Source organism: Homo sapiens, chromosome 2, assembly GCF_000001405.40.
Source record: "Homo sapiens chromosome 2, GRCh38.p14 Primary Assembly".
Lineage (NCBI taxonomy): Eukaryota > Metazoa > Chordata > Mammalia > Primates > Hominidae > Homo > Homo sapiens.
Genome location: NC_000002.12, coordinates 88,453,432 through 88,477,182, shown reverse-complemented (window position 1 = coordinate 88,477,182; position 23,751 = coordinate 88,453,432).

The following is a 23,751-nucleotide window of genomic DNA, read 5'->3' as shown; positions in this document are numbered from 1 at the left end:
TTGCAGCAGCAATAAGAACAACAGTGGATACTGTTGACATTTTACTGTTGTTGATATTATAATTATGCTCATCAGTGGATTCAAGCTTTCCCCACAGAGCTTTGTGATGACTGAGGATGGGTGTCACCTAGAGTCCTGTCACCATCTCCATGGAGATCCTGCATGGGCACTTTGCAGAAAACAAAAGATTTCCACTTTCTCAGGGCTGCACCGCTGCAATAAGAATCAAGCCATGTTTGGCCAGGTGCAGTGGCTCATGCCTGTAATCCCAGCACTTTGGGAGTCTGAGGCAGGCAGATCACCTGAGGTCAGGAGTTGGAGACCAGCCTGGCCAACATGGTGAAACCGCGGCTCTACTAAAAATACAAAAATTAGCTGGGTGTAGTGGCGCACACCTGTAATCCCAGCTACTCAGGAGGCTGAGGCAGGTGAATTGCTTGAACCCAGGAGGTGAAGGTTGCGGTGAGCTGAGATCGGGCCACTGCACTCCAGCCTGGGTGACAGAGCAAGACTCTATCTCAAAATAAATAAATAAATAAATAAACAAATAAATAAGAATCAAGCCATGTTTTAGCTTGCACCACATGGAAGTGGGTCTACTATCATTTCAGGAGACTTCGTGGTACCCTTTTGCCACAAGTCTCATGGGTGGAAAAAAAAGAAGTAAGTAAAATATGTTTTAGTATTTGACATCCCCCACTCCTGAGATGAGATCAGCACAAAAGTACCAGTTATATTTTTTCATGTTCTGAATTTTGCCTGTAACCCTGCTAGTTTGGTTTACTTTTTGTCATTATTATCTGTAACCTTGTAATAAAAGACAAGCCTTTCATCAAGTTTGAGTCTCCTCCCTGTCTACTAACACAACCCATGAAAACACCATACTCAAATATTGGCTGCATAATTCCTAGAGCCTACTGCAGAAAATATTCCTGTGACCCTTATAAGAGACTTCTCATCAGCATATGTAAGAGATGAATATTTCTACCTAAGGATGATGGCACCTACAACTCTTTCTGCATTATTTTGAATTTTCTTTAGCATTTTCCTGCTGAGGCAGCCTCTTGGATATCATCACATCTTAGCTAGTCAAATGCCATTAATCTCTTTTTGGGATATAGAGATGGTGCTTCATAAAGTCAATTGTTTTTTAAGATGCCTCTAAAGAAATGCTCTTCTCCTATATTAGTCTGTTCTCACATTGCTAATAAAGGCATACCTGAGACTGGGTAATTTACAAAGGAAAGAGGTTTAATGGACTCACAGTTCCACGTGGCTGGGGAGGCCTCACAATCATGGTGGAAGGCAAAGCAGATGCAAAGCACGTCTTACATAGCAGCAGGCAAGAGAGCTTGTGCAGGAGAACTCCAGTTTACAAAACCATCAGATATCGTGAGACTTATTCATTAGCAGGAGAATGGCGTAGGGGAAACTGTCCCCATGATTCAATTATCTCCATCTGGCCCCACCCTTGACACATGGGGATTATTACAATTCAAGGTGAGATTTGGGTGGGGACACAGCCAAATCATGTCATCTTTTTACAGAGAAAGCCAGCTCACTTTCCCCACTACTTCTTCCTTGGGTGCTGCAGAGTTAGAAATGCCCAGTGCTCAGCAGCAGGGCCAAGCTAGAGCTATTGCTTGGGCTTGGCATAAATAGTGAATTGGTTATTATCTGTGATAACTCCTCCCTGAATTTCTCTGCAGTCTGGAGACCCTGGATCAGTTGAGATATGCTCTCAATTGATCTTCTTGGTAAGAGGGATTCATTGGATTGCATGTTCCTAGTTTCTAGATGCTATTCTTTCTAGCAATGGTATTTTCCCTTTTCCACAGAGGGGATTCAAGTAGTGGTTTCTCCAATTCAATTCATAAGTAGACTTCATTCTTCAATCCAACTGCATCCAGCTCATAGGATTCTAGGAACTCCAAACCTAAACTAGGGCAAAGCCCTGCAGTACTTAGACTTATACAGTTTCTTCCTATGCATTTTAAAATTATTATCTGGGATTTATCTTTTTTTTTTTTTTCCCAGATGGAGTCTCACTCTGTAGCCCAGGCTAGAGTGTGCAATGGCATGATCTCCACTCACTGCAACCTCTGACTCCTGGGTTCAAGTGATTCTCCTGCCTCAGCCTCCTGAGTAGCTGGGATTACAGGCACATGCCACCATAGTCGGCTAATTTTTGTGTTTTTAGTAGAGACATGGTTTCACCATGTTGGCCAGGCTGTTCTCGAACTCCTGACCTCAGGTGATCTGCCCACTTTGGCCTCCCAAAATGCTAGGATTACAGGTGTAAGCCATCGCACCTGGCCTATCTGGGATTAATCTTATTTATGCACCGGAATGTTACAAAGTACTGAGTTAACAGAATACTGCTTATTCATTTTGTTGAAAGTGCTTATTTAGGAAATTATCTTAAATTTAGGGCCAGGCATGGTAGCTCACACCTGTAATCTCGGCACTCTGGGAAGCCAAGGAAGGAGGATCGCTTGAGGCCAGGATTTTGAGACCAACCTTGGCAACAAAGTGAGACTCCATCTCTACAAAAAAATTAAAAATTAGCTGGGTGTGGTGATACTCATTTGTAGCCTTAGCTACTTGGGAGGATGAGGAGGGATGATTACTTGAGCCTAGACATTCGAGGCTACAGTGAGCTATGATCGTGCCATGGCTCTCCAGCCTAGGCAACACAGTGAGACCCTGTATCTGAAAAAGAAAAGAAAGGAAATTATTTTAAATTTAAACCTGGAATGACTTCAGCAGGAAAACAGCTTCAATATTCCCCCTTTTATATAAAATCTTTTTTCTTTTTTTTTTTTTGAGACAGAGTCTCGCTCTGTTGCCCAGGATGGAGTGCAGTGGCGTGATCTCAGCTCACCACAACCTCCGCCTCCCAGGTTCAAGAGATTTCTCCTGCCTCAGCCTCCTGAGTAGCTGGGACTACAGGCGTGCACCACAATGCCTGGCTAATTTTTGTATTTTTAGTACAGACGGGGTTTCACTACGTTGGCCAGTCTGGTCTCGACTTGGTGATCTGCCCACCTTGGCCTCCCAAAGTGCTGGGATTACAGGTGTGAGCCACTGCGCACATACTTAAAATCTTCACAGTAATCTTTACAGTAAGATTACATATTTTACATACTTAAAATATTTTCAGTAATCTTTACTTAAAATCTTTAGAGTAAAGTGATGTAGGATTCACACGGGAGGATCAAGAGTGGAGAACAGGTCAAGAATATGCAGTTTTCTCACATCTGAACTTGTCTATTTCCCGCAGAAAGCCCACAGTCTGCCAAAGAAGGGTGCATCATCAAATAAGCCATAATGTATATTTTGTAGGTGAAAACAGTTGAATAAAAGCAAACTTCAACCTTCAGTGCCATCATCAATTATAGGCTCCTTCAAGGATAAGCTTGAGATTAAAAACAAATACTCCTTACCTTTTACAGAAACAGATTTTTAGGAAGCTAAAGGAACATCTGAAGAGGTACACCATCATCAGACCCTCTGATTGATTAACAATAGGATACAGCAGCAAGCATTTCACAGCAAGCAATCCCCACTGGCCAATTATGTGTTAGGTGCAGTGTTAGACCAGGAAACATGGCAGTAGCCAACCGTGTCATAGCCCTAGAGCTGCAAGACTTTACCCCGGTGTGGCAGTTAGCATGACAATCATGGAAAAAAGGCTCCCTATGGGCAAACAGGTCATCACCCAGGATTTGTCTGTGCACCGGACATCTCTTGGGACACAGTTTTCCAACGCCTCTAAAATGAGGCCCTAAGCACCAATGTCTCTGCACATCGTAGACAGAGCACAGATGACCATCCAATGTCATCTTGGTTCCTTTTCTTCCTCTGTGAGGCATGACTGATTCTAAGCCTTTACATACTACTTACAGAAAAGTTTTGTTTTTGAGATGTTCAAAAACCCCTTTATTCAGCCTTAAATCTCTGGGCATTCAATGCTATATGTGGAGATTTTAAAAAGTTTTAATCTCTGAGCAGCCTATTGGCAGCTACCATTTCTTAGGGTTAACAGAGAAGCCAGATGCACAAGGAATTTGAGTGCCTCCCCCAACAACCCCAAATTGAGGAAAAATTTCCCAAGATCCTACTCACTTTTATGTATTAATTTTTTATTTTTATTTATTTATTTATTATTTATTTATTTATTTATTTATTATTTATTTATTTATTTTAGACAGAATCTCACTCTGTCGCCCAGGCTGGAGTGCAATGTCACAATCTCGGTTCACTGCAACCTCCACCCCCCGGGTTTAAATGATTCTTCTACCTCAGCCTCCTAAATAGCTGGGATTACAGGCGCCCGCCACCGTGCCCGGCTAATTTTTGTATTTTTAGTAGAGATGGGGTTTCACCATCTTGGCTAGGCTGGTCTTGAACTCCTGACCTCGTGATCCACCCGCTTCGGCCTCCCAAAGTGCTGGGATTACAGGCATGAGCCACTGCGCCCGGCCCCTACTCACTTTTAAAATGTAAAATTATGCATTGTGTTGTGTAATACAGTCACCTCTGTAGCTTGCAGGACTTCTGAGAGACTAAATTGATCAATAAATGGCGGCCAGGTACAACTGGAGAAGCAAGCTTCAATTCCTTGTATTTCTACAGAACCTTTCCCAAAGGTGCTGAAGAATAACTGTGCCAAAGAGACCATAGGCAATGAACTCCCCAGAAGCCTGAGGCCCATATTCACATAAACTGTCTCTATCTCAGGCCAGGCGCGGTGGCTCATGCCTGTAATCCCAGCACTTTGGGAGGTCAAGGCAGGCGGATCACGAGGTCAAGAGATGGAGACCATCCTGGCCAACATGGTGAAACCCTGTCTCTACTAAAAATACAAGAATTAGCCGGGCATGGGGGCATGCACCTGTAGTCACAGCTACTTGGGAGGCCGAGGCAGGGGAATCGCTTGAACCCGGGAGGCAGAGGTTGCAGTGAGCCGAGATTGCGCCACTGCACTCCAGCCTGGCGACAGAGCAAGATTCTGTCTCAAAAAAAAAAAAAAAAAGAAAGAAAGAAAAGAAAAAAAACTGTCTCTATTGCAGAACTTGTCAGTTTGACAGGCTAGGCATTTCCAAAATCTAACTCCCCCGCTTGATGGGCACCTCAGTGGTGGGGGTAGGAAGTGACAGAGCTCTCTCATTCATGTAAATAAAGGTGACTGCATCCCCCTCATAGCTGTGGGTGGTGGAACTCCTTTTATTTCTAAGATTAAAAGAGCAAGGCTGTAGGGGGCAGAGGAATAACCTTGTGGAAGAGAAGGGGCTGAGGTGGACAGGGGAGTTGGCTTTCAGGAAGCAGAAGTCAGCTGTTTTACAGTATGGATTAGACACACACACTCCAGGTGTTTTGAAACAAGTTTCCCAAAGCACTCAGCAGTCTGCATTCCTTTCCACGACTCTCTAAGAAAAGTGTCTCTTCTGGCTTAGGAAGAATCATAAAAAAATTGCCACCCTGACCCCCTCATCTTAATCCCTCGCCATTTGGCGAACAATAGAGAAAACGCACCTGACAAAGGTGTTGGGCTAATGCCACAGCTCCTTGTCTCTTTCTGAAGAGCTGAGCGGGAGGCAGAAGATCAAGCTGAGCCCCTGATTTGAGTGTCTTTTGGAAATGCATAAAGCTGCAGACGGAAAGGCGGCTTTCATGTGCAAATCATCTGAGGCTGGCACTACTAGCCTTGGTCCTCCTAGTCTTTGCCCAATGCTTTCTTTAATCTTGAAATTACTCCTCTTTTCAGATCTAATGTTTTTGCCAGACAAGATTTGAAAATACAGAGATACTGAATGCATTTTCACATGCTCAGTAGGGGGAACAATTTGCCTATTTTGAAGTGGCTGCCATTCAAATACTCTGCCAGAGACTTACTACTGAACAAATAGTACAAAAGCGTCATCAGGTATAACAAATATTACAAGTCTTCTTTTCAAAAGACTTTCCTCCAAGTACTCTTCGTAAAGAGTGTCAACAATAAAAGTGAACTAATTTCAAGCAATAAAATTTAGCAGGTAGGCTAGGCACGGTGGCTCACACCTGTAATCTCAGCACTTTGGGAGGCCGAGACAGGTGGATCACTTGAGGCCAGGAGTTCGAGACCAGACTGGCCAACATGATGAAACACTGTCTTTACTAAAATACAAAAATTATCCAGGTGTGGTGGCACATGCCTGTAATCGCAGCTACTTGGGAGTCTGAAGCAGGAGAATCACTTGAACCTGGGAGGTGGAGGTTTCAGTGAGCCAAGATTGTGCCACTGTACTCCAGCCTGGGCGACAGAGTGAGACCCTGTCTCAAAAATTAAAAAAAAATCTAATAGGTGCATTAATATGGGAAAGTTAGAACCAAACCTTGCTCTCCTATTAATTTTTGCAAAAGTCAACAGTGCATTGGTTATGCAAAGGAATAGACTGAGGATTGGAAGGAAGAACTGCTAGCTCATCCATTCTGTTTTGTTTCATTTTTTTTTTTTCACCTTCTCGAAATTATTTAACAGGAGAAAATCTAAACAGCAAACAGGAAGATGGTCTATTATAAAGTGCTTGAATGTCTGGAGTTGATTAAATGCAAAAACTCTTCATTGGTCAGCAATAGATATAAATGGACACATTAGAAATAATATAGCTCGTATCTGTCCAAAATGAAACAGTGCCTCAGCAGTTTAATTTTGATAGTCAATATGCTATATTTTATTGACTAGGACACCTGACAACACTCAATAATAATGTCAAAGTGTAATGACAATAGGGAAATCATGGCATCTTAATTACTTTTGTTTTACCACCACTTCTAATTTATATTTTCGTTAAACGTTAGTGTCACTTTCAGATTAAGTAAGAGTAAATTCTCGAAATAAATATCTGACAGAAGATTTAGCTTTGTTCCAGAAAAATGAATGAAGTCATGGAACCGTAATTTTATTTCATAGAAAGGCTAGGAAAAGTCCAACATGTAACATTTCATTAATTCAACAATTATTTATTAAGCATCCATGCATCTTCTAAAGGGACAGAGGCCTCTACCCACACAGAGTAGAGTGGCATACAGTAAAGTATAGTACAATAGATCACAGTAGAGTAGACTACAGTCGAGTACAATAGAGTAGGGTAGAGTAGGATACAGTACAGTACAGTATAGAGTGAAGTACAGTAGAGTAGAGTGAAGTATAGTAGAGTAGAGCACACTAGAGTAGGGTAGAGTACAGTAGAGTTGAGTAGACTAGAGTACAGTACAGTAGAGTAGGGCACACTAGAGTAGGGTAGAGTACAGTAGAGTTAAGTAGACTAGAGTACAGTACAGTAGAGTAGGGTTGAGTGGAGTACAGTAGAGTACGGTGGAGTACAGTAGAGTAGAAAACAGTAGAAGGTGGTAGGGTACAGTAGATTAGAGTAGAATACAGTAGAGTATAGTACAGTAGAGTGGAGTGGAGTACAGCAGAGTAGAGTAGAGTAGAGTAGGGTAGAGTGGAGTAGAGGACAGTAAAGTACAGTACAGTAGAACAGAGTGGAGTAAAGTATAGCAGAGTGGAGTATTGTACAGTACAGTAGAATATAATATAATACAGTAGAGTCGAGTAGAGTACAGTACAGTATAGTAGAGGGGGGGTGCAGTAGAGTAGAAGACAGTAGATTACAGTAGAGTAAAGTACAATAGAATGCAGTAGAGCAGAGTAGAGGAGAGGAGAGGACAGGATAGTAGAGTGGGGGACAGTAGAGTAGGGTAGAGTGGAGTAGAGTACAGCAGAGTGGAACAGAGTAGAGTGGAGTACAGTAGAGTAAAGTAGGGTGGAGTTGGGTAGAATGGAATAGACTACAGTAGAGTGGAACAGAGTAGAGTGGAATATAGTAGAGTGGGCATTTCTTACCAACACCCCTCTGCCCTGAAGAGGTTTTGCCCTGTCTATGGATGGCTGCAGACTGTAGTATTCAGTACATCGGTTTCCACCAGATCTGCCCAGGCTATATCCACCCCATCCCCAATTCTCAGCCCCCCGCTCTCAGCCCTGACAGGGTACCCATGGCATCCTAAGACATCAACTAATTTTGTGTTAGCCTCTTTCATTCTCTCAGGGCTCTCTGCCTTCCTCTCTCACAATTCATTCATTTGTGGAGGAAATATTTATTGAGTACCTACTCTGTACCCAGGACTGGGTTCTATCCCTAGAAGTGAGCAAAAGAGACACAGCCTCTGCCCTGGAAGTCCACAGTCCACAACCCTCTCAGGCAAGCCTCAACCAAATAGTCACAGAAACACATCCTAGTTACCAACTGTGAATGAGCTATGAATAAAGATTAACATGAGACTATTATCAAGGATCCCTCAGCTACTTTGGGGAGGTGAGGAAGAGCCAGGGCTGCCTGAGGATGAGGCTGTGAGCCTCGGAGGAGCAGCAGCAACTAACTGGCTGAAAGGCTGGAAAGGTGGTCAGACCAAAGAAGGGGAATTTCCCAAGACCCTCAGGAGGAAAAGAGTATTCTTTCTCTCTCTTTTCTTTCTTTTTTTATTGAGACGGAGTCTTGCTCTGTCTTGCCCAGGCTGGAGTGCAGTGGTGCGATCTCGGTTCACTTCAGCAGCCTCGGCCTCCTAGGTTCAAGCGATTCCCCTGGCTCAGCCTCCCGAGTAGCTGGGACTACAGGCATGCATCACCACACGCGGCTAATTTTGTATTTTTAGTTGAGACAGGGGTTTCACCATGTTGGCCAGGCTGGTCTCAAACTCCTGACCTCAGGTGATCCACCTGCCTGGGCCTCCCAAAGTGCTGGGATTACAGGTGTGAGCCACCACGCCTGGCCTCTCTTTTCTAACTCTGAATTGTCTCTTATTATTATCCCCAACAAAAAAGCTTGGGGCAAAAAACAACAAAAAGCAGAATCTGCATCTACAAAAACTGTAATTCTTGTAGCTAAGGAAAAGATCCAGAAGGACGTTCAGGGAGGGAGTAATTTCACATACGCAGGGTTTGGAGAGGTGTGGTACTGACGGTCAATTGTGCCCTAGTATTCTCTGCTTCCCTGGCATGGCTGCCGCAGTACGCCTTTCAGCAGGGCACAGCAGGCCCAGTTTAAGACTGCACTTCCCAGGGTCCTTTGCAACCAGGTGGGGCCATGTGACTAAGTTCCGATGAATTTAAGGAGAAATCCATGTCACTTTCTTTGAGGGAAATTATTAATGCTTATTTTCCACTTCCTATCCTTTCACTTTTTTCTTTTCTTTTTTTTTTTTTTGAGACGGAGTCTTGCTCTGTTGCCCAGGATAGAGTGCAGTCGCACGATCTCCATTCACTGCAACCTCTGCCTCCCAGGTTCAAGCACTTCTCCTGCCTCAGCCTCCCGAGTAGCTGGGATTACGCGCCCACGACCACATCCAGCTAATTTTTTTTTTTTTTTTTTTTGAGAGAGTCTCGCTCTGTCGCCCAGGCTGAAGTGCAATGGCGCGATCTCGGCTCACTGCAAGCTCCACCTCCCGGGTTCATGCCATTCTCCTGCCTCAGCCTCCCGAGTAGCTGGGACTACAGGCGCCCACCACCACGCCTGGCTAATTTTTTTTTTTTTTTTTTGTATTTTTAGTAGGGACAGGGTTTCACCGTGGTATCGATCTCCGGACCTTGTGATCCGCCGCCTTGGCCTCCCAAAGTGCTGGGATTACAGGCGTGAGCCACCGCGCCCGGCCTAGTTTTTGTATTTTTAATAGAGATGGGTTTCACCATGTTGGCCGGGCTAGTCTCAAACTCCTGACCCCAGGTGGCCCACCTGCCTCGGCCTCCCACAATGCTGGGATTACAGGCGTGAGCCACTGCGCCCGGCCCCTATCCCTCTGCTTTCCCAGGGGTAGGAGCATACATTTGGTACTAGGAAGCCAGCTGCTGTGGTGGGGTTGAGGACAAGAGGTGAGAGAATCTTAACAGAGAAGGTGCCTGGGTTCCTAGGAGCCCGGAGGAGCAGAACCACCTCCCTAGTCTAGACTGTTCCATGAGAGAAGCCCACTGTCATCTTGTATTTTGGGGTCTTTCTAAGTTTGCCTGTTCCTTAATTAACACAAGAGAGGTTATCTTATTCAATGATTTTGTCTTTACAATGCCAACCAAAACAAAAGTCATAACAAAAGTCATAACGGAAAAGATAAAGAAATTTGATTATATAAAAATTGTGTAGGGCTGGGCGCTGTGGTTCACGCCTGTAATCCCAGCACTTTGGGAGGCCGAGGCGGGCAGATCACGAGGTCAGGAGTTCGAGACCAGCCTGGTGAAACCTCATCTGTAATAAAAATACAAAAAATTAGCCAGGCATGGTGGCACACGCCTGTAATCCCAGCTACTTGGGAGGCTGAGGCAGGAGAATCGCTTGAACCCAGGAGGTGGAGGTTGCAGTGAGCCAAGATTGTGCCACTTCACTCCAGCCTGGGCGACAGAGCGAGACTCCGTCTAGAAGAAAAAAAAAATTGTGTGGGTTAGCAAACACCACAAGCAAAATCAAATGCCAAATGATGAAACTAGAAAACAATATTTGCAACGCATGACAGACTAAAGGCTAATATCCCATACATTTTATTAAGCGTTTACTACCCATCAGGCACTGTGCTGAGTGCTTCATGAGGACTGTCCTGATTGATACTGACTTCAAATTTCAACCCTTTGTGTAGGTGCCATACAGCACAACAATTAATCATAGGCTCTGAATTTGCCACAAATTTACTGTGTGGTACTGGAGAAGTGAACTAAAATGAGGATAATAGTCCCTTCTTTATAGGATTGTTTATAAAAATTAAATGAGACAGGGCTGCTGTGAATGATTGGGCAGGTTGCGCCTGAAGGAAGGCAAACTACTAAGGGAATAAGTAAGGCCGAAATCCAGTGCCTGCTCTCCAGCCCTGTGCCCCACCACATGGTGGTACCAGCCCAAGGAAAAGGTGCCTTTTTCTTATTTGTGCCAAGGCACTATATGAACTAGCAGCCCTGACATGAGAGAATTGCTTAGAAAAGTACCTGCAGTAAGTGGCCAATATAAGTTACAATTACTATTAGCATTAGCATTATTGTTCTTATTCTCCAGATGAGAAAAGGAAAGCTTACAGAAGCCATGTAGTTTGCCCATCACAGGGCTAATGCAAAGATTCTTGTCAATGCGTAACAAAAATTCAAACAACGCTAGCTGGGTGCGGTGGCTCACGCCTGTAATCCCAGCACTTTGGGAGGCCGAGGTGGGTGGATCACAAGGTCAGGAGGTCGAGACCAGCCTGGCCAACATGGTGAAACCCCACTTCTACTAAAAAAATACAAAAATTAGCTGGGCATGATGGCTACTTGGGAGCCTGAGGCAGGAGAATTGCTTGAACCTGGGAGGTGGAGGTTGCAGTGAGCTGAGATCGTGCCACTGCACTCCAGCCTAGGTGACAGAGTGAGACTCCGTCCCCCAAAAAAATAAAAACAAAAACTTCAAACAACCCAATAAAAACATGCAAAGGACATTGATCACAGAAAAAGAATAAATTATGAGAAGATACAGAAACTTACTCATAATTAAACAAGAGGAAGTTAAAACAATAAAATACCTTTTTCACCTATAAGTTTAGTAAACTTTGATTATACTCAACATTGAAAAAGTGTATGCTGCGCATGGTGGCTCATGCCTGTAATCCCAACACTTTGGGAGGCTGAGACAAGAGGATCGCTTGAGTCCAGAAGTTTGAGGCCAGCCTGGGCAACACAGGGAGTCCTTGTCACTACAGAAAAATTTTTAAATTAGCCCGGTGTGGTAGCTCACACCTGTGGTCCCAGCTACTTGGGAGAATGAGGTGGGAGGATCGCTTGAGCCGCGGAGGTCAAGGCTGCAGTGAGCGGTGTATGTGCCACTGCACTCCATCCTGGGCAACACAGAAAGAACCTGTCTCAGACCAAAAAAAAAAAAAACAAAACAAAAAAAAAAAACAACTTTGATTCTGATGAGCCTCTCAGATCTCCCCAACTTGGGAATTACTAGTTTATCATTTATGTCAATAAAGCAACATTTCTTTTCATTTTAAAGGTTCTAAATAGTTAATTAAGCTCCCAAACTCGACAGCGTCAGAATCACTCAGGGGGAGGAAGGAGGAGGTAAAAAGTACATAGCCTGCAGGCATCCCACCCTAGAGATACAGACTCTCTTGGAGACTTGGCTCTTGGGCGGTGCCAAGGAATCTGCATTTTAACAAACCCCCTGAAGGACTCCACACTAGGACTGGGAAGCACTGGCTGGAAAATTAGGTCAGTTCAGCTGCAATCTCAACCCTGGCTAGTGGGGTTGATCCACGTAGATCTAGAATCAGGAAGCAGCCATACAATCAAGGCTGTCACCAATATTATCGCGGTCGACAACAGCAGCAGCAGCAGTGGTATCTTAGCTGTTGTCATAGTCATCATCATCGTCATCAAAAACATCTATGGGTCCCTATTATATGAAAGGCAATCACCAATTTTTAAAAGTAGAAACAAAGCAGAAGGCTGTAGGATACAAAGGCTGTGAGAGCTGGGACTAGAAGAATGAGTCTGGATTCAATTGGAAGCTGGTTAAGAAGAGGTATGGGAAGTCAATAAAATATATCTGTTGCTTATACAAAGATATTTTATATATAACGTAGGCCAGCAAACTAATGAAGCCACTGATTTGATTTGATTTGATTTGATTTTTTTGAGACAGGGTCTTGCTCTATCACCTACGCTGGAGTGTGCAATGGTATAATCATGGCTCACTGTAGCCTCCACCTCCAAGGCTCAAGTGATCCTCCCACCTCCGCATCCCAAAGTGCTGAGATTACAGACATGAGCCACCGCACCCGGCCCATGCCTTTCTGTAAGAGAGGGGAAGAATTCAGTCTTTCCAGAAGAAATTCTATCTTCATAAAGATCATGTGCATGACTGGGTGAGGATTTGCAAATTAGCATATCTTGTAGATAAGTTCTGCTCATTTGAAAGCCTAATTTAGCCTTAAAAGACAAGCTTATTTCAGTTTTCCCAGGCATGATAAAGTGACCTTCGAAATTGTTAAGCCTGGGCAGGGGGTGGCCGGGGCCACTGAGTCCCTTGGTCCCCTGGGTCATGCAGACTGGGAATCTTCTTGTCTGAAGCTCTGTGGGAGCAGGGATTCATTGTTTATCTTCTTTTTTTTTTTTTTTTTTTTTTGAGATGGAGTCTCGTTCTGTCTCCCAGGCTGGAGTGCAGTGGTGCGATCAAGGCTCATTGCAACCTCCGCCTCCCTGGTTCAAGCAACTCTGTGCCTCAGCCTCCCGAGTAGCTGGGATTACAGTCACCCACCACCACGCCCAGCTAATTTTTGTATTTTTAATAGAGACCATCTTGGCCAGGCTGGTCTTGAACTCCTGACCTCATGATCCACCCGCCTTGGCCTCCCAAAGTGCTAGGATTATAGGTGTGAGCTACCGCACCCAGCCTGGATTCATTGTTTATCACCTATACCTACAGCTAGAGCCAGGGTCTGGCATGCTCAATAGATATTTCTTGTATTCATAAATGAACCTGGTCATAAACTCACCTGAAATGCTTACTGAAAACATTTTGCAGGGCATGAAAACCATTTGACACAGCTGACAAAAGGTTTCCTTCCTTTCCTTCTTTCCCTTTTATTTCTTTCTTTTCTTTCTCTTTATTTCGTGAGACAGTCTCTTTCCTTTTCTTTCTTTCTTTTTTTCTTTCTATAATCCATTCCTTTCTTTCCTTCCTTCCTTGTTTCTTTCATGAGACAGTCTCTCCCTCCCTCCTTTCTTTCTCTTTCCTTCCTTCCTTCCTCCCTCCCTCCCTCCCTCCCTCCCTCCCTCCCTCCTTTCTTTCTTTCTTTCTTTCTTTCTTTCTTTCTTTCTTTCTTTCTTTCTTTCTCTTTCTTTCTTTCTTTCTTTCTTTCTTTCTTTCTTTCTTTCTTTCTTTCCTTTCTCTTTCTATGAAAGAAAGAAAGAAAGAAAGAGTGAGGCAGTCTCACTCTGTCATTGAGGCTGGAGTGCAGTAGCATGATCTCAGCTTACTGCAACCTCCATCTCCCAGTTTCAGCTTGTGCCTCAGTTTCTTGAGTAGCTGGGATTACAGCCACGCGCCACCACGCCAGGCTAATTTTTGTATTTTTAGTAGAGACAGGGTTTCACTATATTGGCCAGGCTGGTCTCAAGTAATCCGCCCACCTCGGCCTCCCAAAGTGCTAGGATTATAGGTGTGGGCCACTGCGCCCGGCCAAGACAAAAGATTGTCATAATCATTGTCCAGTAACAGTAGTCAGGGACAAGAAATCGTTTCTCTATTCCTTTTTGGATATTATCTGGGATTATACTTAGGTTGGTGCAAAAGTAATTGCGGTTTTTGCCATTAACAGTAATGGCAAAAACTTCAGTTACTTTTACGCCAACCTAATATCTACATAAATTCACAACAGATCCTAGGATTACTTAAGATGGCTTTTGGAAGCAAATATTTATTGAATAAAAGGTAGCAAGGCCAGGCACAGTGGCTCATGCCTATACTCCCAGCACTTTGGGAGGCCTAAGTGGGAGTATCGCTTGAGCCCAGGAGTTCAAGATTAGCCTGGGCAACATAGTGAGACCCTGCCTCTATTTAAATACAAAAAAATAAAAAGATTAGTCGGGAGTGGTGGCATGTGCCTGTGGTCCCAGCTACTTGGGAGGCTGAGGTGGGAGGATCACTTGAGCCAGGGAGTTCGAGGCTGCAGTGAGCTGAGATGGCGCCACTACACTCCAGCCTGGGTGACAGAGGGAGACTCTGTCTCAAAATAAAAAATAAAAATAAAATAAAAAGTTAGCCAAACCTATCAAATGGGGCAATTAAATACCTTTTTCCATTCCCATATAGACACATGAGAGCTGCAATTCTTCATGCTGGTTTTTTTGTTTTTTTGCTTTTTGAGACAAAGTCTTGCTCTGTCCCCCAGGCTAGAGGGCAGAGGCACGATCTCAGCTCACTGCAACCTCTGCCTCCCAGGTTCAAGCAATTCTTGTGCCTCAGCCTCTCGAGTAGCTGGGACTACAGGCGTGTGCCACCACACCTGGCTAATTTTTTTTGTATTTTAGTAGAGATGAGGTTTCAACGTGTTGCCCAGGCTGGTCTCAAACTCCCAAGCTCAGGCAATCTGCCCACCTCGGCCTCCCAAAGTGTTAGGATCACAGGTGTGAGCCATGGTGCTTGGCATGCTGGTTTTAAAAAGTTCATAAAATGGAATTTGTTTTACTAATTTATAACATAATTTGAAAATAATCCTCATTAAATTTAATATCACTTTGTTTCTATACTGATCATAATAGTTCTATTCTTATTGAAGATCTATTTTTTAGGTTGGATTTTTAGTAATCAATGAAATTAACTTGTATTACAGTATTTATGCTTACATTTTAAAACATTTGAAACATTACATAAGGAAACAATTTTTTTTTTTTTTTGAGACAGAGTTTTGCTCTTATCGCCCAGGCTGGAGTGTAATGGAGCGATCTCAGCTCACTGCAACCTCCGCCTCCCAGGTTCAAGTGATTCTCATGACTCGGCCTCCCAAGTAGCTGGGATTACAGGCGTGCGCCACTACACCCAGCTAATTTTTGTATTTTTAGTGGAGCTGAAGTTTCACCATGTTGGCCAGGCTGGTCTCGAACTCCTTACCTCAAGTGATCTGCCCGCCTCCACCTCCCAAAGTGCTGGGATTACAGGCGATGAGCCACAGTGCCCAGCCAGGAAACAATTTTATCAGTACAATTAATGATCTATGTATATTGTTTACCTTCTGTTTATGGCAAATGATCTTTTCAAATTTTTAACTTACAGTAATGCTGTATGGTTTCTTTTTCAAAAAATGGGGTCAGGTGTGGTGGCTCACGCCTCTAATCCCAGCACTTTGGGAGGCTGTTGCAGGCAGATCGCTTGTGTTCAGGAGTTCAAGACTGTCCTGGGTAACATAGCAAAACTCTGTCTCTACCAAAAATACCAAAACTTAGCCAGGTATAGTGGCGCACACCTGTGGTCCCAGCTACTCTGGAAGCTGAGGTGGGAGGCTCGCTCAAACTCAGGAGGTAGAGGTTCCAGTGAGCCAAGATCGTGCCACTGCACTCCAGCCTGGGTGACAGAGACCTCATCTGCAAAAAAAAAAAAAAAAAAAAGAGGGGGGAGGAAATGGAATTTAAGTTTAAAAATTGAATCTATTAAAAGAAAAACATTAAGTAATTAATAGCATAAGTGGCTTAGAGAATCAGCAAAACTCATGAAGAGGATATCAGAATGAATGATACGATGCCTGATTTGGCAAAACAGTGAGCTTTAGAAGAGTATGAGGCCAGCACAGAGTGTGGACAAGGCTGGCTAAATGAGCTGCCTCTGCTAGGATCACATGTGTCATGCAGTGGGAGCCGCTGAGAGTTGGAAGCACGGGAGGCTCATGACTGGATCTGCCCTCTTAGCGGATCATTATGAGGGTGGTGTAGAGAGAGGATTGGAAGGCACAAGAGGAGGCAGGGAGGCCAACAAGGGACTGATAGCAGTAATCCAGAAGGGAATGAAGGTGGATGAACCTCAATGCTGCCAGTGGGACAGAGAGTAAAGTGCTATCATGGCACAACTTGGTCACTGAGGTAGAAGACCCTAAATTCTCTGGCTTAGATAACTAGATCAACAAGAGACCCTCCATAGAGATCAGGAACAAAGGAGGAAAGCAGGTTTACAGGGAATTCTGCCGACGGCCCAGGCATGGTGGCTCACACCTATAATCCCAGCACTTTGGGAGCCCAAGGAAGGAGGATGGCTTGAGGCCAGGAGTTTCAGATCAGCCTGGGCAACATAGTGAGACTCCAGTTCTACAAAAATAAAAATAAAAAATTAGCCAGGCATGGTGGCATGTGCCTGTAGTCCTAGCTACTTGGGAGGCTTAGGTGGCAGGATGGCTTGAGCCCAGGAGTCTGAGGCTACATTGAGCTATATCTCACCACTGTACTCAAGCCTGGGCAACAGAGCAAGACTCCGTCTCTAAAGAAAAAAAAAACAGTAATTAAAATTTTTAAAAGAGAGGAAGGAATGGAAACCCACCTATATAATAGTTTGCTAGGGCTGCCACAACAAAGTATCACATAGACTGGATGGCTTAAAGAACAGAAATGTGGCCAGGCACGGTGGCTTACGCCTGTAATACCAGCACTTTGGGAGGCCGAGGTGGACAGATCACCAGAGGTCAGGAGTTCAGGACCAGCCTGGCCAACATGGTAAAACCCCATCTCTATTAAAAATACAAAAATTAGCTGGGTGTTGTGGCAGATGCCTGTAATCCCAGCTACCTGGGAGGCTGAGGCAGGAGAATTGCTTGAACCCAGGAGGCAGAGGTTGCAATAAGCCAAGATCGTGCCATTGCACCCCAGCCTGGGCAACAGAGCCAGACTCTATCTCACAAAAAAAAAAAAAAAAAAAAAGAACAGAAATGCATTTCCTCATAGTTCTTGGGGCTAGAAGTCCAAGATCAAGGTGTTGGCAGATTGGTTTTCCCTGAGGGCCTCTCTCGGCTTGCAGAGGGTTGTCTTCCTGTATCTCCACATGTTCTTCGCCCTGCACACGTCTGTGTGCAAAAATTTTTTATATCGTTTTAAAAAATACCATTTAATGCTTTTTAATTTATTCAAGCAACAAACAACAGTTGAAGATGCATTAAAGTCAGGCAGTGGACTGAGCCTGGGGAAATCATGGGTGAGACAGTTCAAGCTGCGTTCTAATAGCATGTACTCTCCAGACAGACTGCCTAGGTTTGAACCCCAGCTGCATACTTATAAGTTGGGGGACCCTAGTGAAGTTACTTAATCTCTTTATGTCTGTTGCTTTTTCTGTAAAATGTGGAATAACAGTTCTTATCCCATAGGATCACTGTGAGAATTAAATGGGACAATGCATGTAGGGTGCCCAGCACAGTGCCAGGTTTTTAGTACATGTGTCATAACTGTTAGCTCTAAAAATATATGAGCAAAAAGAAACAATCCCCATTCTCGGAGAACATCTGGGATAGTGGGTGGCTAAACTGCAGAAGTGTTGATTATTGAAAATGGGGGGCTGGGTCAATTGATGAGTCATCGGAGGATGCTGGGTCACCCCATCATGATGGAGGGCTTGGGGGAGACTGGAAGAGTGTGGACCAGAGAGTGAAGTCTAATGAAGAAGGAGGAGGGAGAGAAGGCAGAACAGCTAAAAGACTTGAAGGAGTTTTTGGTAAGAGAGAGGAGAAAGAATGTTCAGGCAGGGGCATTAGTGAGCACAGATGATACCAATCTGCCTTCTGGCCCTGAGGTGGGAGGAGTGGAGGGAAATGCAGCCTTCAGTGGAGATCCCTGCAGGGGAGGACACCATGGGAGGATCCTGGGGGAGCCATTTTTCAGTCTGGGCAGAGCTTTCAGAAAAGATCTTGGATCTCGGATCTTGGAGGAAAGCTGAAGACTCACTGGGAGGCTGGGGCAAAAGCAGAAGGAGGAGTGTGAGAAGTTAGCTGAGGAAGCTCAAGAATGAGGTTAATCAGCTGGAGCCAAGGGGCCAGGAAGCATTCCAGAGATATGAGAGGAGGGAGACTCACAAGGGGAAGGGGCTTCAGGTTCAAGCAGAGGAACCGCAGATTAACAACCTTTGCTCAGGCACAGGAATTGCTGGAGCATCAATATTTTGGCTGATCATTTTTTTCTCTTATTTTCCTGGATTAAGTGTATGGAACTTCCATGGGATCCTCAGACGCTTAGGCTTCTAGAATGCTCAGGATTCATCCTTTTTGCTAGACTTCATATGGCTAATGTTTGCAGTGGAAAAAGGGCCATAGGTCTCCGGTGTCGGCTGGTATATGGCTGGGTGGTTCCTGGGCCATACCCCTGCTTCTGCACGCCCTGGGTTTCATTTTTGTCCACTCTGTATTTGTAGCTCACTCCAGTCTTTCCAACTCCCAGGTGGCTGAGTGGGGTAACTGGCAGGGGTAGTTTGGTTAATGTCAACATAAAGAGCTTGGAAGGGAAAGGGACTCGTGGAACAGAAAACAAATGCCACATTAGTGGAAAGCTTGCCTTCATGGGGGGAAAGGGCTGCCTCAGTTTCCCACGAACACTAGACTCGGTAAGTAAAGTGTAAATATTTGTTAAAGGAGCAAATAAATAGTCCTTCTGAGTTCTGTTTCAGTCTGCAAGTCACAGCCTTTGAGGTATCAAAGGAACGGGAGAGAGGCTGTTCAGTTTGCCCCTCTCTAATGACACTACCAACTTTAAAATGAGAACCGAGTGGTCAGAAGTTGGAAAAAAATAGGCTGGGTGTGGTGGCTCACGTCTGTAGTACCAGCACTTTGGGAGGCCAAGGCAGGCAGATCATGAGGTCAGGAGTTCAAAACGAGCCTGACCAACATAGTGACACCCAGTCGCTACTAAAAATACAAAAAATTAGCCGGGCGTGGTGGCAGGCACCTGTAATCCTAGTTACTCAAGAGGCTGAGGCAGGAGAACGGCTTGAGCCCGGGAGGCGGAGGTTGTGGTGAGCCGAGATCACGCCATTGCACTCCAGCCTGGGCAACCAGAGCAAAACTTAGTTTCAAAAGAAAAAAAAGAAGTTGGAAAAAAATGACACCAGGCCAGGTGCAGAGGCTTACTTCTATCTATAATCCCAGCACTTTGGGAGGTTGAGGCAAGCAGATCACTTGAGGTCAGGCGTTAGAGACCAGCCTGGCCAACATGGTATAACCTTATCTCTACTAAAAATACAAAAATTAGCTGGGCATGGTGGTGGGCGCCTGTAATTCCAGCTACTTGGGAGGCTGAGGCAGGAGAATCGCTTGAACCTGGGAGGCGGAGGTTGCAGTGAGTCAAGATCGTGCCACTGCACTCCAGCTTAAGTGATGGGATGACACTCTGTCTCAAAAAAAAAAAAAAAAAAAGACACCAAATAAGGCATCAGGTAGTGGATCCAGCTTCAGTTATCGCAACATCTTTCCTTAAATAAAGCATCCTTTCCTCAAAACAATAAATGCACTAATTAACTTTACATATTTTGGTCTCTTACTCTGAAAGCTGTATTCTATCACAATTCAAGTTTTCTTGCATTCTTTTCTCACCTCCTTTTTCATCTCTACTTGTACCAAAGTTTGCTTGTTTTTCATCTTATCTTAACGTCTTGTTTCATAAAGGCCAAACTTTCTTACGCTGTACTGAAAACAAAAAGCAGACATTTTCTAAAATCTTCCCACCACTCTAGTAAATTATTTTCAGAGTGGGGCATTTTCTCCAAAATTGGATAATGCTTCTACTCTTTTTTGCTATAGAAATTTTTCCCAGGTCCCATTTTGGGATTTGTTTGTTTTGTGGGTGTGTACTTTTACACTTCCTTGAATAGGCTCATTTTTGTTCCAATGAGGCATTTGTAAGTAGCCACTTATTAATTCAACAGATATTGATATTTCAAAAATTGATATTTGCTTATTCTATAGTGTGCAAGGTGTTTTTAAAAAGTAAATTATAAGGCCGGGTGCAGCGGCTCACGCCTGTAATCCCAGCACTTTGGGAGGCCCGGGCAGGCGGATCACTTGAGGTCCAGAGTTTGAGACCTGCCCGGGCAATGTGGTAACACCCCGTCTCTACTAAAAACAATATAAAAAATTAGCCGGGTGTGGTGGCGGGCGCCTGTAATCCCAGCTACTCTCGAGGCTGAAGCAAGAGAATCACTTGAACCTGAGAGGTGGAGCTTGCAGTGAGCCGAGCTGCACTCCGCGCCTGGGTGAGAGAGTGAGACTCCGTCTCAAAAAATATATAATAATAATAATAATTACACACAAAGATTCATCTTCAAAGAGCTTCTGATTTACATATTTGATGATGTCAGAGAGGTATACTAACTAGTGCAAGGTAGAAAGCTAGACAGAAGACACGGGTAGATTGCTATTTGTGGGGTTTTTTTTCACAGATATGAGTAAATCACGGTGCTGAGACAGGAAGGACTGACTCTGCGCCCAGCATGATGTTGGTCCAAGTTGGCAGCCATTCAAAGTTAAGAGCACTGAGGCTATTCTCAATTTGTATTACTGTTTTCTTCCTTTGGAAATATGTAAAAATATTAACAAACACTAATGTGCCAATATTTCTAGGATGCTGGAAATTAATGATTGTAATACATTTTACATTCCATTACAGTATTTATTAAAAATGACTACATTCCATTATAATTCACTATTGCTGCTCTGCCATTTCAAAGAAGCAACAAGAATGTTGCCAATCAGCAGTGGAAAATAAATATTTTCTTTGGGTTGAATAATTTCCCAAAATGTTTTATTTTCCAGTGAAGAAAACATGCAACTGTCTACTATTCTTTTTTTTTTTTTTTTTTTTTTGCGACGGAGTCTCGCTCCATCGCCCAGGGTGGAGTGCAATGGCGCTACCTCGGCTCACCGCAACCTCCACCTTCCAGGTTCAAGCGATTCTCCTGCCTCAGCCTCCCCAGTAGCTAGAATTACAGACGCCCACCACCACACCTGGCTAATTTTTGTATTTTAGTAGAGATGGGTTTCAACATGTTGGTCAGGCTGGTCTCTAACTCTAACTCCTGACCTCAAGTGATCCGCCCACCCTGGCCTCGCAAAGTACTGGGATTACAGCCGTGAGCCCCCTGCCCGATCTGCAACTGTCTATTTTTTGAGACGGAGTCCCGCTGGGTCGCCCAGGCTGGAGTGCAATGGCGCGATCTCGGCTCACTGCAACCTCTGCCTCCCGGGTTCAAGCAATTCTCCTGTCTCAGCCTCCCGAGTAGCTGGGACTACAGGTGCCTGCCACCACGCCTGGCTAATTTTTGTATTTTTAGTAGAGACAGGGTTGCACCTTGTTGGTGAGGTTATTCTTATTTTACACTGGCATAGGTGTCTTAATCAATTGCCTTGATTATATTGTAAAAGGCAATTTAACAAAACATTATTACAGAGAACTTGCATTTTAAACACAGTTTTTATCTGTTTATTTAAGCTCATCAAATGCTTTTTTTGTTTAATTAAAAAAACAGAGATGAAAAACATTATTTTGATTTTGATATTCAATAATTTAGGCTATGACCAATAAAAATATATCTAATTAATACGTGACTGAAAATAGATATGAAAATGTAACTTCCAAACCCCTAGAGGGGGCGTCCACCCCACAGATCACTACAGAGATGTATGCTGTAACACAGGTGAAGAGTCGCTAGGTGGCTCTGCCATTTTTAAATAAAACTAAGGTATACACACACACACACACACACACACACACACACACACACACACACACACACACTAACATACAGTTAAGAAACAAAATACCCCACGCAGGGAGAAACTTTAATCAAAACAAGAAAGAATAATCTGACATCATGGTCTCTCACTCAGAATAATTTGGAGCTATTGAGCTAAGAATTTGACTCTAAAGAAAAACTACAAAGTATGTATGGGCAAGCAATCTGCTAAAAGATAAGATAAATTATTATATTTTTAAGGACATAAATTACTAAAGGGAGACGGTTTCAAATTTTTCATAATTTATTGCCATCTAGGTTCCCAGCTTTTCTTTTGGAATTTCTTTTTAGTTTAGACCTTTACATTTAAGAACAAATATTAAATTTTTGTATTATAACTTATTTTAAAATGTTTTCCAAGCTGGGTGCCGTGGCTCACGCCTGTAATCCCAGCACTTTGAGAAACCGAGGCGGGTGGATCATCGGAGGTCAGGAGTTCCAGATCAGCCTGGCCAACATGGTGAAACCCCATCTCTACTAAAAATACAAAAATTAGCTGGGTGTGGTGGCGGGCGCCTGTAATCCCAGCTACTCAGGAGGCTGAGGCAGGAGAATCGCTTGAACTCCGTAGGTGGAAGTTGCGGTGAGCCCGAGATCGCGCCATTGCACCCTGGACAACAGAGCAAGACTTCGTCTCAAAAAAAAAAAAAAGTTTTCCAATTTCCAATTTCCTTTCATAGTTGTCATCCTTATTTAAAAAAAAATTCATTTCATTTTAGGCCATTTAGGAAGAAAAAAACAAACAACACTGGGCTTATCTAAATTATGAAAACATTTTAGATCCTTGAACCAAAATAAGACAATTAAGACAAACACTATTCTTTTCTACAGCATTTGCCAGGAGACTGAATAGAAACAGTGCTTTAAAGTGTTGACAATAATTTATTTCTGGTCCCAGAAAAGACGACTAAATAGTGACATGTGAAGTGTAATTTGCATTTTAGGTATCCAAATTTGCTGATTAAATATTTTTGGATTTCATTTTCAAGAGGTGACACACCAGAAGAAAAAAAAATCCTCCAAAATACATAACTAATTTCATCATGAAAATAAATGCCTTGGAGGAGAAGGGAAGTTTCCGAATGATTAAATATTCTGAACTGCCAGTCGGCAATTGGCAAATAGAAAAAAACGTTTGCCCTCTCCCTCTCGGTTAAATGAAAACCTCAGACCTGTCACGTATTAAGAACACATTTAGGAATACTTTTAATAGTAAAATAAACAATTTTCATATTGTTGTTTCCAGCCAATCGAGGATGATTACGTGGAACGTGAGGTCGCCACAGTATTTTACAGGTTTTATTTGTTTCCCAGGCAGGGAGACGCATTAAAAAACTTAGCAAAAGTAGAGGGCAAGTCATAGACCTGCCCGTTAGATGAGGCTGTTTTTGTAAATGAGCGCTTCTTGCACAGTTTAAATTACTTAAAACTTTGAAACTTTCGG